The sequence below is a fragment of the Homo sapiens genome, chromosome 14, assembly GCF_000001405.40.
Source record: "Homo sapiens chromosome 14, GRCh38.p14 Primary Assembly".
In the NCBI taxonomy this organism is placed as follows: Eukaryota; Metazoa; Chordata; class Mammalia; order Primates; family Hominidae; genus Homo; species Homo sapiens.
Genome location: NC_000014.9, coordinates 99736742 through 99751032, shown reverse-complemented (window position 1 = coordinate 99751032; position 14291 = coordinate 99736742). Strand labels below are relative to the sequence as shown.

General features: G+C 54.8%; 1 protein-coding gene across 3 annotated transcripts in view, besides 3 other annotated features; it reads right to left on the bottom strand.

Moving 5' to 3' along the window:
• The window catches only part of EML1 (EMAP like 1), a 204339-nt gene extending 191028 nt beyond the window's left edge, over positions 1-13311 (bottom strand). For all 3 annotated transcript variants that reach the window (XM_005267398.3, NM_001375411.1, NM_001440377.1), the window contains exon 1: positions 13173-13311. In XM_005267398.3, the coding sequence (XP_005267455.1) occupies positions 13173-13200 (28 nt within the window). In that variant the 5' untranslated portion in view covers positions 13201-13311. The remainder of the gene's footprint in view (positions 1-13172) is intronic.
• Positions 976-1508: an enhancer, noted in NCBI's record as "H3K4me1 hESC enhancer chr14:100215862-100216394 (GRCh37/hg19 assembly coordinates)". NCBI's record gives its function as "activates a minimal SCP1, AML or CMV promoter by ChIP-STARR-seq in naive H9 embryonic stem cells {active_cell/tissue: H9 hESC(naive)}" and the evidence as "EXISTENCE:reporter gene assay evidence [ECO:0000049][PMID:30033119]".
• Positions 11071-11881: an enhancer, noted in NCBI's record as "H3K4me1 hESC enhancer chr14:100205489-100206299 (GRCh37/hg19 assembly coordinates)". NCBI's record gives its function as "activates a minimal SCP1, AML or CMV promoter by ChIP-STARR-seq in naive H9 embryonic stem cells {active_cell/tissue: H9 hESC(naive)}" and the evidence as "EXISTENCE:reporter gene assay evidence [ECO:0000049][PMID:30033119]".
• Positions 12693-13503: an enhancer, noted in NCBI's record as "H3K4me1 hESC enhancer chr14:100203867-100204677 (GRCh37/hg19 assembly coordinates)". NCBI's record gives its function as "activates a minimal SCP1, AML or CMV promoter by ChIP-STARR-seq in naive H9 embryonic stem cells {active_cell/tissue: H9 hESC(naive)}" and the evidence as "EXISTENCE:reporter gene assay evidence [ECO:0000049][PMID:30033119]".

The following is a 14291-nucleotide window of genomic DNA, read 5'->3' as shown; positions in this document are numbered from 1 at the left end:
ACACTGGAAGGTCTTTAAAAACATTTGCTCCAGCCAGTTCATTTCACAGGGGGGGAAACCGAGGCCTGGAGGTGGAAGGCGAGGGAGCTAATGCCTGTGGAGCATCGTCTCTGAGCCAGGCTCTGGCTTCTGAGCAGGGAGACCTCTCCCCCAGGCCACCCCAGCCTTCCATGGATGCTTCCTTCAAGGGCAGAGGTCGAAGCCCTGAACTGAGGGGCGATCGGGTTAGACTCGGGGTGGTGGAGGTGACTATGAACAAAATCAAGCTGGACTCCACCTAGAACCCATCCTGCCTTCCTCCCTCCTTCACAGCTTTCTCCTGAGTGACTGTCTTAGGAGGCCACATCCATGGAATAGAAGCTCTGCTTTTCAGGGGACTCGACCTAAAATGAAAGCCCACCCTGATCCCCCCACTGTGCCCTTGAATACGGGTGATAGTTCATGTGTAGCAAGCACCCTATAAGGTGTCATCAGCTTTGTTTTGCACACAAGGATACAAAGGCCCAGAGAGGTTATCTGACTTGCAAAGATCACACAGCACTTGGTGGCGAGCTTGAATGCCAAAGCAATCTGTCTGATTCCTCAGTCATGCTCCCCTCCCTGACTTTCTACTGTGGCCCCAGCTGGGTGAGGACATAGCAGCAGGGCCCAGAAACAGCCTGGGACCCCCACCTGCCCCCATGTGCTGCCAGCACCTCTCCCTGGAGCCTGGAGTCCTCATCGCATCTGACCTGCTTTTCCCAGACTGCAGACTCAACTGAACATCCGGGGGCCACCAGGGGAGCCTCTCCGCTCTTCTCCCACGGGATTCCAGCATGGAACGTGAATTGTTCCCTCCGGGGCAACCTAGTGAGCCTGCTGTTAGAGATGGATTTGTTTTCCACCCGTGACAGGCTGGTGGTACTCCCTTACCTCCCGCCTGGCTCCAGGCTCAGGTGACGGCCACACAATCGGCCTGACCATCGGCACCTCCACCAGAAGTTCCCTGATAAGGGGCAGAAAGAGCCAACCTCGCGGGAGGACACTCCTGGCTGCCTTCCAGAGCTCTCCACTGACAGACACAAGCTTGGCAAAGCCGGTCACAGCAAGTCCAAGGAGCACGATGTCACCCCATCGGGGAGCAGCCAAGGGGCAGAGGCCCAATAATTCCCCATGAGAAAAATTAGAAGCCCATGTGATGGGCTGAGCCTGTCTGCATTGAACGTGTGCCATCTGCATTTCACTGGGGCTGTGTAGACATGTCGGGGTCACTCGGCCTGCCGCAGAACAGCAGAGCATCAGAGCTCCAGCAGAAATCACCCAGGGCTGGGCTGGTAAGTCAGCTCCCTCGCTACTGATGTTTGTCCCTGTCTACATGGGTTTGGGGCTCACAGAAACCTCCAGGCTTCCAGCTTTCTCCATGTCCCTCCCTCATACCAGCTTTCAGAGGAAGGACCCTAACCCCAGCCTGCAGCTTCAAGCAGCAAATGTCCCAGGACCCTGACATTATCTCACTGAGCCCTCATCACAGTCTGTGAGGCAGGTGCTGTCATTGTCCCCATTTTACAGATATGAAAACCGAGACTTAAGGTGGCAAAGCCAAGAGGTGGTGCCCAATAAGCACGTGAAAAAATGCTCAGCACCATTGGACACTAGGGAAATGCAAATGAAAACCTCAGTGAGATACCACTTCACACCACTAGGATGGCTGGGGGGGCGAGAAGACAGTAACAGGTGCCGGTGAAGATGTGAGGAGTCAGAGCCAGCATGCCCCGCAGGTGGGAAGGGAAAATGGCGCAGCCACCGCTGGAAACAGCCTGGCGGTTCCTCAAAATGCTCAACATAGAGTCACCGTATGATCCGGCGATCCCGCTTCCCGGTGTGCACCCAGGGGAAATGAAAACAGATGTTCACACAGAAACTGGTACACGAGTGTTCATAGCAGCGTTACTCATCATGGCCAAAGCGTGGAAATAACCCAAATGCCCGTCCACTGGTGAACAGACGAGTGAAACATGGTATATCCATATGCTGGGGTATTAATCGGCAATAGGAATGAATGAAGATGGATACAGGCTCCAACACGAATGAACCCAAAAATGTTTCCTAAGCGAGAGAATCCAGGCACAAAAGGCCACGTGTTACAGGATTCCACTCATATGAAAAATGCAGAATACGCAAATCTACAGAAACAAAGTGGACGAGTGTTTGCCAAGGGCTGTGGGGAGGAAGCTAGAAGGGGTCGCTACTAATGGGTATTGGATTTTTCCGTGGACGACGGAAGTGTTCTAAATTTGATTGTGGTGATGGTTGCACAACTCTGAATATACTAACAACCACTGGATATATACTTTTAAATGTGTGATTTATTTATTTTTAGTTTCTTTCTTTTTTTTGAGACAGGGTCTCGCTCTGTTGCCCAGGCTGGAGTGCAGTGGAGCGATCATGACTCACTACAGCCTTGAACTTGTTGCACAGGCTGGTCTTGAACTCCTGGACTCAAGGGATCCTCCTGCCTTGGCCTCCCAAAGTGCTGGGATTGCAGGTGTGAGTCACTGCGCTGGGTCTAAATGTGTGAATTATATAATACATCTCAACAAAGGTGTCACTGAGACAAAAAAAAAAAGATAACAAAGCCAGGATTGGAACCCAGGACACTTTCTATAAAGCTGCAGCCTTGAGCATCGCTGGCCCCTCCCTTTTCCTCCCAGAAACCGGGGAGAAACGTGAGTACCACTCACCCCACATATTCCCGCAGCCTCGGGGCAAGCTCCGGATCCCAGGACCCCACATGCTCTGAGTGGGCAGGCCTGGGGCTGCGGGCAGGGGCTGTCCTGGGGCTGCGGGCAGGGGCTTTCCCAGAGCAGCGATGCCATCCCTGTGACAGGCTCTTAGCTAGGGTCACCTGACAGACCCTGCAGGGCCCCGGGAATCCTGGCTGCAGCCACACCTCCTGCCCGGGCATCCCGGGCGAATTCCGCCTTGGCAGTGAGTGGGGCTCCTCCCAGGCACCCAGGCACGCATGATCTCATGGATGTCACAGCTGTCGGCCCTAAGGGAACCTCTTTAGGGCACCTCATCCCTGGTTTTCGGTCATTGCCAAGTCTTTACCCTCTCTCAACCAGCTCAGTGTTTCAAGATGGAAAGAAAAGGAAGAAAGTCCAGGAGGGGGTGGCTTTCCAAGTGTCTAAGGTGAGATGAGGCCCCTTCCCGTGCATTGCTGACCCTGCAGCGGGACCCCTGGGGCAGCACCAAGTCCCCGTGTGGCCAGGGGTGGGCTTGGTGGCTTCCACTCAGGCCTCCCAGTGACTGGCAGGTGTCCTTACTCCGAGCCCCTGCAGAGAGTAGATAAGAAGCGGGCCCAAGCCTGACCCTGAAGCTCACCCTGCTCGCCCCATGAATTCCTAAGGCGCAGCCCAGCCCTGGTGCAGTGCAGACCTGGGTTTGGTGAATGAGACATGAATAGACACAGAAAGGATGTTCCTTGGGTCTCTGACAGCCCCTCACCCATAGGACATCCACCCTTCTCCACTGTCTACCCAACATGCCACCCCCCAACTGGGCAACCGAGGTGGCCCCAAACCCACTTTAGGATAGAGTTTCTCCTTCCCCCTCAGACCCCTGCCCCCCATCAGGCCAGACAGCTGCCATTCCCCAAATGTGCCCTGTACATCTGGAGCCGATCTGTGCCACCCCGGGCCTGCCTTTCTCCTGGGCCAGAGGCTGGTCCCTTGGTCCAGGCCTGGAAGAATGCGCAGTGCCCTCCTCGCCATTTCTATACATTTCCAGGGGAGTTCGGAGCTCATGATTTTTTTTCCAGAGGTGGTGACTGTTTTTCTTTTCTTCCTTTTTTTTTTTTTTTTTTTGAGACGGGGTCTAGCTCTGCCACCAAGGCTGGAGTGCAGTGGCGCTATCTCGGCTCACTGCAAGCTCCACCTCCTGGGTTCACGCCATTCTCCTCCCTCAGCCTTCTGAGTAGCTGGGACTACAGGTGCCCGGGTGGTGGTTGTTTTTCTACCTCCTTAGTCATGCTTATCCTGGGTATCTGGCCTTGTGAGATGGGGCACAGCGCCCGATAGAGCGGAGGCAAGCACAGGATAGCAAACAGGAGTGCGGAGGAGCCGCCCAGGGCAGGGCGCGGCAGATGCTCAACAAACCAGAGCACCCGGCCACTTGGGCTTCTCTCCCCAGGAAGAACTGGGAGCCCTGGGTGGGAGGAGCCCTGCTCGAGGGGTGGGGACACAGGACAAGGCTCTATGCCAGCCTCAGCCAGCCTTCTTAGGCATGAAGTTGACAGAAGCATCCACCAGCAGCAGAATGGGGATGGTGTGAGGCCCTGGGCTGCGTGGAGGGGGCCCAGGGCGTGGGGTGCGACTGAGCCAGCTCTGCCCATGGGGTAGAGCCGGGGCACCAGGCTTTGGCTGTTGTCCCCGGGCGAGCAGGAAACCACTCCAGAGAGATGCTGGGGCTTAGGCGGCACCTCCTGAGTCCTCGGCTTCTGCTACAAGGAAGACTCCTGTTTCTCTTCATGCTGCACATCCGCCCCCACCCCATCCTGTGGAAACCTCCCCAGAGGCAAAGGGCTTGCCTGAAGCTAGTGCTTCCGCCACATAGCTGGGCTCAGGGCCAAGCCTCCATCCAGGCTCCAAACATAGGTGCCCCCTGAGACCTCTCCCTCCTCCCGAAAAGTTCAGAGGGGATTGCTGGGCTTGGGTCCTGATAAAGGCCCTTCCCCCAAGCCACCGCCACACCCAGCTCCCTTCTTTGGAAAAGAGTGCCACTTTTCTGACCCTCCTGAGGTGGGTGACCCCAGGTTGGGGACAGCGCACCTGTCTCAGTCCCATCTGTCTCAGTTACTCCCTGTGTGACCTTGGGCAAGCCACTCCATTTCTCTAAATCTCCATTTGCTCGTCTATAAAATGGAATGATAACATTGACTACATAGGTTAAAGGGGGCGTCATGTGGAACTGAGTGTGTGAAAGGGCCTAGGGGAGGGGGAGCCGCCATTTTTCAGTGCCTACTGTATACATTCTTGTTTAGTCCACCAGTAACCTCAGTCTATTAACCCTAAGGACAAGGACACCAGAGTGGGCTGGAGAGGCAAATCCCACAAGGGGAGACCCAAGGCTGGCTGAATTCCCTGCTCTAGCCTCAAACCACAGTGCCTGGCAGTACACCATGCACACAGCACAGGCTCAGTAAGCGTCCACAGAGTCAGAGGTTAACTCAGACTATGAGCGAGAAGTGGCAGGAAGGATGTTTTCTGCTCCAGCACCAGCACTTGACATGTTTTTCCACCCAAAATAAATGAGGCAGGATTCCTAAAAGATGTGTTTAAACTTGGTAGAGAGTTCTCTAAACAGTTTGGCCTCGAGGGTGGACCACAGAGCTGAATACTGCAGGAATGTCTGACCCCCCAAACGGAGCTCAGCAGTATCAGGTCCAATTCTGGTTTTATTTCTAGCAATCCAAGTTGATTCACTGACTCTTATGACAGGGTTCGTAGGCAACCTCTAGTCTTTGCAAACATTATTTTTAAACCAGATCTTATCTCATACAAAGCAATGTGTGATGTGTGTGGCCACAGCCCTCTGTTATACTGTAAAGTTTTATTTAAATGTGTTTCATAGTGTGTGCGTGTGTGTGTGCCATATGTGTATGTACACGCCCACCATTAAAAGTCATTTGGGGCCGGATGATGGCTCATGCCTGTGATCTCAGCACTTTGGGAGGCCGAAGCAGGCGGATAATTTGAGGTCAGAAGTTTGAGACCAGACTGGGCAACATGGTGAAACCTCGTCTCTACCAAAAATACAAAAATTAGCCAGGTGTGGTGGCGCATGCATGTAGTCCCAGCTACTTGGGAGGCTGAGTCAGGAGAATCGCTTAAACCCGGGAGGCAGAGGTTGCAGTGAGCCGAGATGTGCCACTGCACTCAAGCCTGGGTGACAGAGCAAGAGTCTGTCTCAAAAAAAAAAGTCAACTGGGAGAACCAGCTACTAAACTGATGACACAGCTTCTCTTTAATGGTGTCATAGAATCAAAGAGAGAGTGCATATCTGTATTAGAGTGAAGAAAACACGCTCTTCTCATCATTTCCCCCAGTATTATTCAAAAATCATTTCCTTCTAAACTCCTATCTCAGTTTTCGGATCTGTGGATTACACTGAATAAACGGATTCCACAGCCTACTCATTCCAACACCCTCTTTTGTACCTCAGCAAATAAAAAGTCAAAAGATATTTCTGGCTAAGGTTTTTCTTGGTTATGCTTTTCCTCGCTGGAGGTGATGACCGAATCATTCAGAAATTTATTTTCGTGCTTTAAAATGCAAATGCAACTCCGTGGGAGGGAGCGATGTTTTGAAAAGTCTTGCCCCTGGCGTTATGATTTGCATATTGGAAATCACATGATTTACATTTTGGATACCTGTTGACCACAGCTCACACAATGTGCTCTATTTCATAATTAAAATGGATTACTTGAAAAACAAACAAAGAAACAGACGGTCAATTCGGGGGAAAAAAACTCAATGAAAGGGGTGCAGACATTACTGCTGTTCCTAATGGAGAGACACACTCTGTCCTCTGGCCATTTGGTGTGCCCATGTGGCTTGCTGTAGCCAGTGAAACTTTGGCTGTGGCAAGGTGGGTTACTTCCCGGTGGGTGCATTTAACTGGTGCTGTGTCGCCATCTCTCTCTTGGCTGGCTGCAGTGACTGGGAAAACATTGGTCTTTATGGAAGCATCACACTGGGTCACCGTGTAGGGACCTGCCCTGGGAGCAGGGAGGGGGTCACCAGACCTGCAGTGGTCTTTTTATAAGGTAGAAGTGTACCTTTGTGGTATTGAGCCATTGAGATTTGTTTATTCTGGAGCATCCCGATCCCATTCTGACTTATGTAAAAAAAGAGTAAGAAACAAAATAACCAAAGAGGCTGTTTTGATGAAGGCAAAATTTTGAAATCAAAGTGCAAAAATTGGAAATTTGAAATGGGTGTCTATGGGCGACCTTTTACCCACCTCAGCAACTGGTTTCTATATTTTATTTTGACTGTGAATTTCAAGAAAAAAAATAGTGAAATGGTTGCAAATGCTAAATGCAAAAGCTGTTAGCATTTGCAACCATTAGCTGTTTTTTTATTTTAAAGCTTTTGTTTTAAAAACATGATAAATAAAAAATAAAATCTATCTTGCTATCTCAAGAATGCTCCCTTAGAATTGACCCAATACTTTAAAAGAACAGAAGTGGATAGCTTTCCTTTCCGAGTTGCCTTTCTAACCTGCATCTCTTGTCATAGATGAAAAAGCCTGCGAGGGTACTTCCGACACTGGCGTGGGGCCCCCAGTCATGTGAATGTATTCATTTGCTGCCTGGAGGTTCGTGTGCCGAGTGAGTGCAGGGCTGAGAAGGTACCGGGGCCCTGCCTGATGTCGGGACTTGGGATGCATGTGCAGAGCCACGTGCTGGCCTGTGGATGGATAACAGATAAGCGGGTGGGTGCTAACAAATCAGCATCTCTCAGGCCGCACACGGAAGGGGGCCTGTCCTGGATCGCACAGTACTGAAGGATCCAGCCGCACCTGGACATGCCTAACAACATCCCACAGCTCGTAACTTCTGTGAGAAGGGCAGTGGTCTGGGGTGGTGCCACTCGAAGCTACTATCCAAGAAGGGTAGCAGGGCATGGGTGCTCCAAGGGTGCAGGGTCCCCAGGGGCTGCAGAACTCAGGGAAGGGTCCCTGGAGGAGGCAGGCCTCCACTGAGCCTGGACGATGGGACAAGTAGGAGACACCTCAGCAAAAGTGCTGGAGGGGCTCGACCTGTGCCTGGGAATCCAGCCTGAGCCCCAGCTCACCATGCCCTCGCTGGGTGACTGAGCCAGTCTCTCTTTCTCTTGGGCCTCAGTTTCCCCTGCTCCATAACATGGAGATCCCATGGGTTGGGAGTGCGGTGTGAACCTCAACGTAGGGGCGCCGTGAGGGGCACTGAAGGGGGACTTCCCAACTGCGGATTCCTCCTGCATGTCCCCACCCGGTGCCCAGCCTCTCGTGAGAGGTCGCTGGATGCTGCTGAGGTTGAGTCCTTCTTGGTGTCAATATCACAGGTGCCCGGCACACTTGCGGTGCTGTTCAAAGGTTCATGCCTGGAGATCACCCACACTTCCCTTGTGCCCCACAGTTCATAAGGAGTTAAAAGGAGTCATCCCGTCCAATACCCATGACACCCCTGAGCTTATGGTGTCACCTCTACTTTACAGATGAGACCGCCGAGGCTCGGAGAGGAGAGGGACCTGCCTGTGTCCAGGGCCAGGGCACATGGGGCTCGGATCTTACCCAGCCCTCCACGCACTCCACAAGTTTTACAGTTGAGCCCTGAAACACTGCCAGGTCACCCCATGGAGCCCTGAAAGTGACAGTATGTCCTTTGGGCCCTCCTAATAGGGGCGGCAGTATCAGGCTCAGCCTCCACTGCACCGTCCCAGCACCCCAGCCCCAGCAGTTGCCAGATCTCCCTGTGCCCTCCTCCGGGTCCCTCCTCTTCTGTGTGGACCTCACCCTTTCTCCCCAGGACCATCTCACCAGCCTCCTCCTTGGCCTCTGGGCCTCCAGATCCTCCTTCCAATTCCTCCACCCACTGCACTGAAGCAAGCCATGTACCTTCTCCATCCCCAGCTCCAGAGCCTTCACTGGCTCCCTATCCCCAAGGGATGAACTGGCCAGTAACCATAAACCCAGTGAAAACCCAGGCCACTTGCTGCCTCCAGCCTTGGCAACCACTGACGTCACATAAAACCACCTCTTGCTCCTCAGGGACTCATGCCCTGCCACCACCCTATGTGCAGGCACCCAGAAGGCACAGGGCATGGAGTCTGGCTTGGACCCTCAGAGAGACCCAGGCAGGCCCAGCCCTTCACAGGGGCTGAGGTGGGGGGTACTTGATGTCAGAACTCGGGACATGTGTCCAGAGCCGTGTGCTGGCCTGTGGATGGCTAATACTTAACCTCTCTGAGGTCACACACGAAGGAGGGCTGCCCTGGGTCACTCAGCACCAAAGGCTCCCACTGCCCCTAGACAGGCCTGTAGCATCCAACAGCTCGGGACTCCTACGAGCAGGGCAGGGGGCCACGTTGGCACGATTCACCAGGTCATCTCAGAGGTGTTCCCATATCCCAGGGCCACTCCAGGCATCTCATACCCTTTCCAGCACTTGTCTGCCCTGAAATCCAGGGAAGGGACACCACGCCAGGCCCCCCCACCTCAGAGAGCAGTGCGACCTCCTTGGGGACTGGGATGGCATAAATTGGGGGGCGAGGCCTTCTAGGAGAAACTGAGGTGAGAGCTGGGGGTGGCTGGGACAGGAAGAGAAGGTGGACGCTGCCCTGGTCCCTGGTGAGGGGCCCACTGTGAGGTCTGGGGGGGGGTGGGCGCAAAAAGCTGGGGTGCTGTCTGGGTTCTGGGATGCCAGGGAGAATTGAGTGAGCAGTTGGGTGGCCCCACTAATGTTTGCAGGCCCTATGCTTGGAAAACCATCCTTGACTTCAGGCAGAGAGAGGTACTTGGAGAGCCAAGTACTTGGGGGCCTTTTGGGGACACCAGGGATCTGTCAGCTCACCCAGCTGAATGTCTTGGTGAGAATCAGAAGCTGCAGGGCATTGGGGGAGGTGATAAAGACGGGGGAACAACTTCCCAGCACACGCACTTACAAAACGCACCAGCAAGGGCAGCCATGTCTCAACACACGAACAGGGTGACTGTGGCCCAGAGCAGGGCAGTGGGACTGGCGGAAGGTTACACAGGAGGAGAGACAGGGTCACTCTGCTGGCTGAACACTTCTGCAGGTTAGAGGCCTGTCCTTACCATACCTGCTGCAGCAGGGCAAATGCCCATCTGTCACAGAGGCTCACAGAAGTTAAGTGACTCACCCGAGGCCACAGAGCTAGGGAGTGGTAGAGCTGGGATTTGAACCCTGGTCTCTGATGGACCTGCATTCATTGCTCTGCTGAAAACAGAACAGCCTGCTCTTCGGTGCTTAGGATTGTAAAGTTGCTTTGCTGGAAACTTTCCCAAGCATGGGTGCAGCTTACAGCACAGAGACCTGGATTCTCTTCCTGCAGATTCTGGCCAGGACGGAGATGGGTAAATCACAAGGTCAAAGGCAGGAAAAGACAATCAACAGACCCAGGATGTGTAGAGCCAGCATCTTCTGAGGCCCCATCTATGCCAGGCAGGTGCCAAGCACTTACAGATCCTATTTCCAGACCCAGTGAGAGAATTGACGAACCCCCCATTTTAAAGATGAAGAAACTGAGGCTTAGAAAGGTGACGTGACTCTGCCCCGAAGAGACAGAGCCAAGCCTAGAATGCAGGCAACTGTAAAGGAAGCGCCTTTGCTGGCCGTGGTGTGTGGGCCGGTACTTGATGCAGGAGAGTTCCTGCTATAAATACGGTGCTGACTCCCGGGTAACCTTAGCTCCGGCTCACCCACCCAGGCACAGGGCCATAAATCCAGGGGCCGGCCACCTCCTGCTGTGCTCCTGCTCTGCAGAATTTTCCTGACACCCTAACAAGGCACTATGTTTTTCTCTACAGGTTGCAAGCTATTGGAGGCAATGTTGAGCTAGCCAACCCTGAAATGAGAGCTGCTTCTTCAGGTGCAAGCCAAAAAGCCCCACAAAATAGCCAGCCTCGCCCTCCTTGGGTGTGCAGGTGGGACTCCCGGGAAGAGGGGCCTAACCTGGCTTCTGTGCTAACAGGGTCTGAGGAACTGGGTTCGAATCCCTGCTCTGCCATTGACCAGCTGGGTGACCTCACATGTGCCTCTCTGAGCTTCAGTGTTCTTAGTTACACGGTGGAGCTGATAGCCCCCACCTCCAGGTAATAAACAAAACAGTGTGTCCAGGACACAGTGGGTCCTCTGCTCCCCTCATCTCCCTCTCTAGGTTGCTTATGTATTGGTGAAATAATAAGAGCTATAACCACTAACAATAAGCCTGGCGTTATTTTAGGTGTGTTACATGCTGTTAGCCATTTAATCCTTAGTGCACGTTGAGGAGTTAATGTCCCAGTATTGTCCCCACCTAATGGATGGGGAAACTGAGGCACAGTGCCCTTGAATAGTCTGCCCTAGGTCACACCAGTCACGAGTGGAGAGCTGAGAATGTTCCCACTGCCGACACGGCTTGGGGATCGGTTACTGAAAACAGGTGAAAATATTTCAGAGCAGTGTCCTTGGAGCAACCACTGGTTGCTGCCGGGCAGGAATCCTAGAAAGGCCTGAACTTCACACTGTGTGCTCCAGAAGACCCCCTTCTACCCATAAGTAAATATACCTTCCTGCACCAAGATGCCGCCTTTACTCCTGCCAGCCAAGTTCAACTTCAAACCCACATATTAGAGACAAAAGACCGTCACGTGGCATTCTATAGATGGGAAAACCAAGCCTGGAGCCTGCCCAGGGCCACCTGCCCACCAGGGCAGACAGAGCCAGCCTGGAATCCAAGCCCCACCTCCCAACCCAACTGGGCTGACCCTCTCCTAGATGGGGAAGGGATGGTGAGGCCCACGTCACCTCCCAGCCTCCAGGCTGCGCACACACGTGCATGCTCAGTGCCCATTCCTTTGCTCCGACGGGCTAAATATTGTCCTGGCCTTCCTGAAATACCCATCTCCATGCGGGTGGCTTTACAAACTGCTAAAACCAGGGCCATGTCCCTGGTGGAGAGGGAGAGCTATTCCGGGTTAGCGTCAGGTGTGGGGCAGGGCCAGCCAGAAAGAGCTGTCTGCTGGCTCCCGGGGCTCCCGCAGCCCCGGCGGGCAATTTCTGGCAGCCAGGACAACTGGCACCCAGTGGAAGAGGGTGAGGTCAGGCCCCTTCTGTCAATGTACCCCTCCCCAACACACACACACACACACACACACACACACACACACTCTCTCTCTCTCTCTGTCTCTCTCTCTCACACACACACACACACACACACACACTCTCACACTCTCACTTGCTCTGTTCCAAATCCTACCCAGCCAGGCCAAGGCGCTGGCACTGTTCATTAGTAACAGGGTATCTGCAGGGTGCTGTCACCCACGATCTGCCCCACACCCCCCAGGAGACCCTGATGAGTTCCGAGAGCCTCCGAGGTGGGGTTTTATGGAGAAGGAATCCACGTGCCAGCGACAATCGGTGGCTTACGAAGGAGGCCCTGCTGGAGGAGGCCAGACCTGGCTGCCTGGGCTGCCTGGGATGCCCATCTGCTGCCCAGGGTGCCCACCTGCTGCCAGCACGCAGGGCCCTGAGCACTCAGTGCACCCCAGGCACCCACAGGCGCTTTCACACAATATCATAAATTTAATTTTCACAGCCATTGGGGGGTTAGGACCACAGTCTCCATTTTTACCTGGGGACACGGAGGCTCAGAGAAGTTAAGCTACCTGCCCAAGACCACCCAGCCTGGAGGTGAAATAACTGGAATTTGAACCTGGACAGCCTGACTCCAGAGTCCCCCTGGATTTGGCCGTCCCCAGCCCCCATTCCGCCAAGGCTGGCTCTGTAACTGGCAGGAGCCGGGGGCAGCCAGCCAGGCACATAGGTGGCCAGTCCCCACCACAGCCTCTGGCCTCAGGCAGAGCAAAGGGCAGTGGGCAGACCCCAGAATCTGATCGCCCTTCTGCCTGCCTGTGTCGCTGGCCATTTTCAACCTAGAGGATATGAGGGCACACAGAGGGCCTGCCTGGTGCTGCCGGACCAGGGACTCAGAACGCCCAGAGGTCTCAGACTTGGGGAATCAGACGGAAGCTGTGTGCTCTCCCCCGCCGTTAAGTGTTCACACACACTCGTCTGCATGCGGTTCCAGTGGCCCACGGCATCCTGAGCCCACCCATGGGTCCCGTCGCAGCCCCTGCCCCTCTGTCCTGGGTCAGCTCTGGCCCCGGCTGCCAGCCCCAGGAGAGCTTGAATCAGGCACAGCTTCCTGCACTGGCTACACTGGGCAGTCAGGGGGTGTGGCGGAACCCAGCTTTGAAAGTCAAGCTCCCCCCTTCCAGCGGCACAGGCCCCCCAGGCGTCGGGCAAGGAGGAAGGGGGTCCAGCTCACAGCTGCCTGCAGCCTGCGGGGGCCCCAGTGCCCTCGGCGACTGGCGGCCTTGGCTCTGCAACCGGAGCCACAGCGGGTAAATATAGCGCTGCCACTCACCGGCGGAGGGGCCCTCGCCGTCCGACATGGTGTGGAAGATGGGCGGCCGGCTGGCCACCAGCCTGCAGGGTCACTCAGAGCCTCAGCGGCTGTCACCCACCCAGCAGGGCTTGGGGCTCCTCCGCGTCCAGCCCCAGGCAGCGTCCCGCCCCGGCCGGCCTGGCCACCCCCCCATGCTGGGCTGGGCAGATAAGAACGTGCTCAGTGCCAGCAGCCTGTGCGATTGGTGGATAAATCTGGGCACTGCCCTCCCCCGCCCAGGGCCTCTCTGGGGCAGCCCCAGGATGTTGCTTGAGAAGCCACTGCACCCTTAGGTGCTTGGTCAGTCCCCAAGACTCCAGCTCCTGGGGACTTGGGAATGCCTGTACACTCTTTCCTTGGGAACGGTTCCACCCAGCCAGCAAGGGACGTTTACGGACATTTAGGGAAGGAGAATAACAAGTGATGCTACCACTGAGTACATGCCCGGGACCAGCAGTTATGTGAAGTGTGGCCACCCCTGTCATCTCACTGCTCTCCAGAGCTGCTGCGACCATCATGTCCATGTCACAGAGAGGTTAAGGGACCCACCCAAGCCACCGGGTCAGTACGGGGCGTGAGCAGGATCTGGAGCCAGGCTGTCTGTCTCCAAGGCTGCAGGAAGGCCGTCCCTTGCCTTTGATTGTTTGGCCAAAAGCAGCCAGCACTTCGGGCATCTACTGTGTGCTGAGTGTGCCACGTGTTGGGGGTCGACAGGGGATGGAGACAGGATCCCCAGGGGCAGTCATGTGGTCCTGGCAGAGTGTGGGTGCTCAGGAAAAACTGGTTGAAAGAATGCACTCCAGCAAGCTCTTAGTATGCTCTTGTGTACCTGGCTCAGAGCCAATCCAGCCCCTCCCCTGGTCCCCACAAAGTGCAGGGCAGGACCAGCCAAGGGCTGGAGATCCCAGAGGCATCACCCCAGGGTTGGGCTTTGCTGGGCCCCCCAGGCCCTAGGTCTACCTAGTTCTGTATGCAGAGACCAGAGGGAATGAAATGGCTTAAAGAGAAGGGAGAGAAACTCAATCTGAGAGATCCAGGAGGGCTTCCTGGAAGAGCAGGCATTTGAATTATCTTTAAGTGAAAATAAAGTTAGTTCTT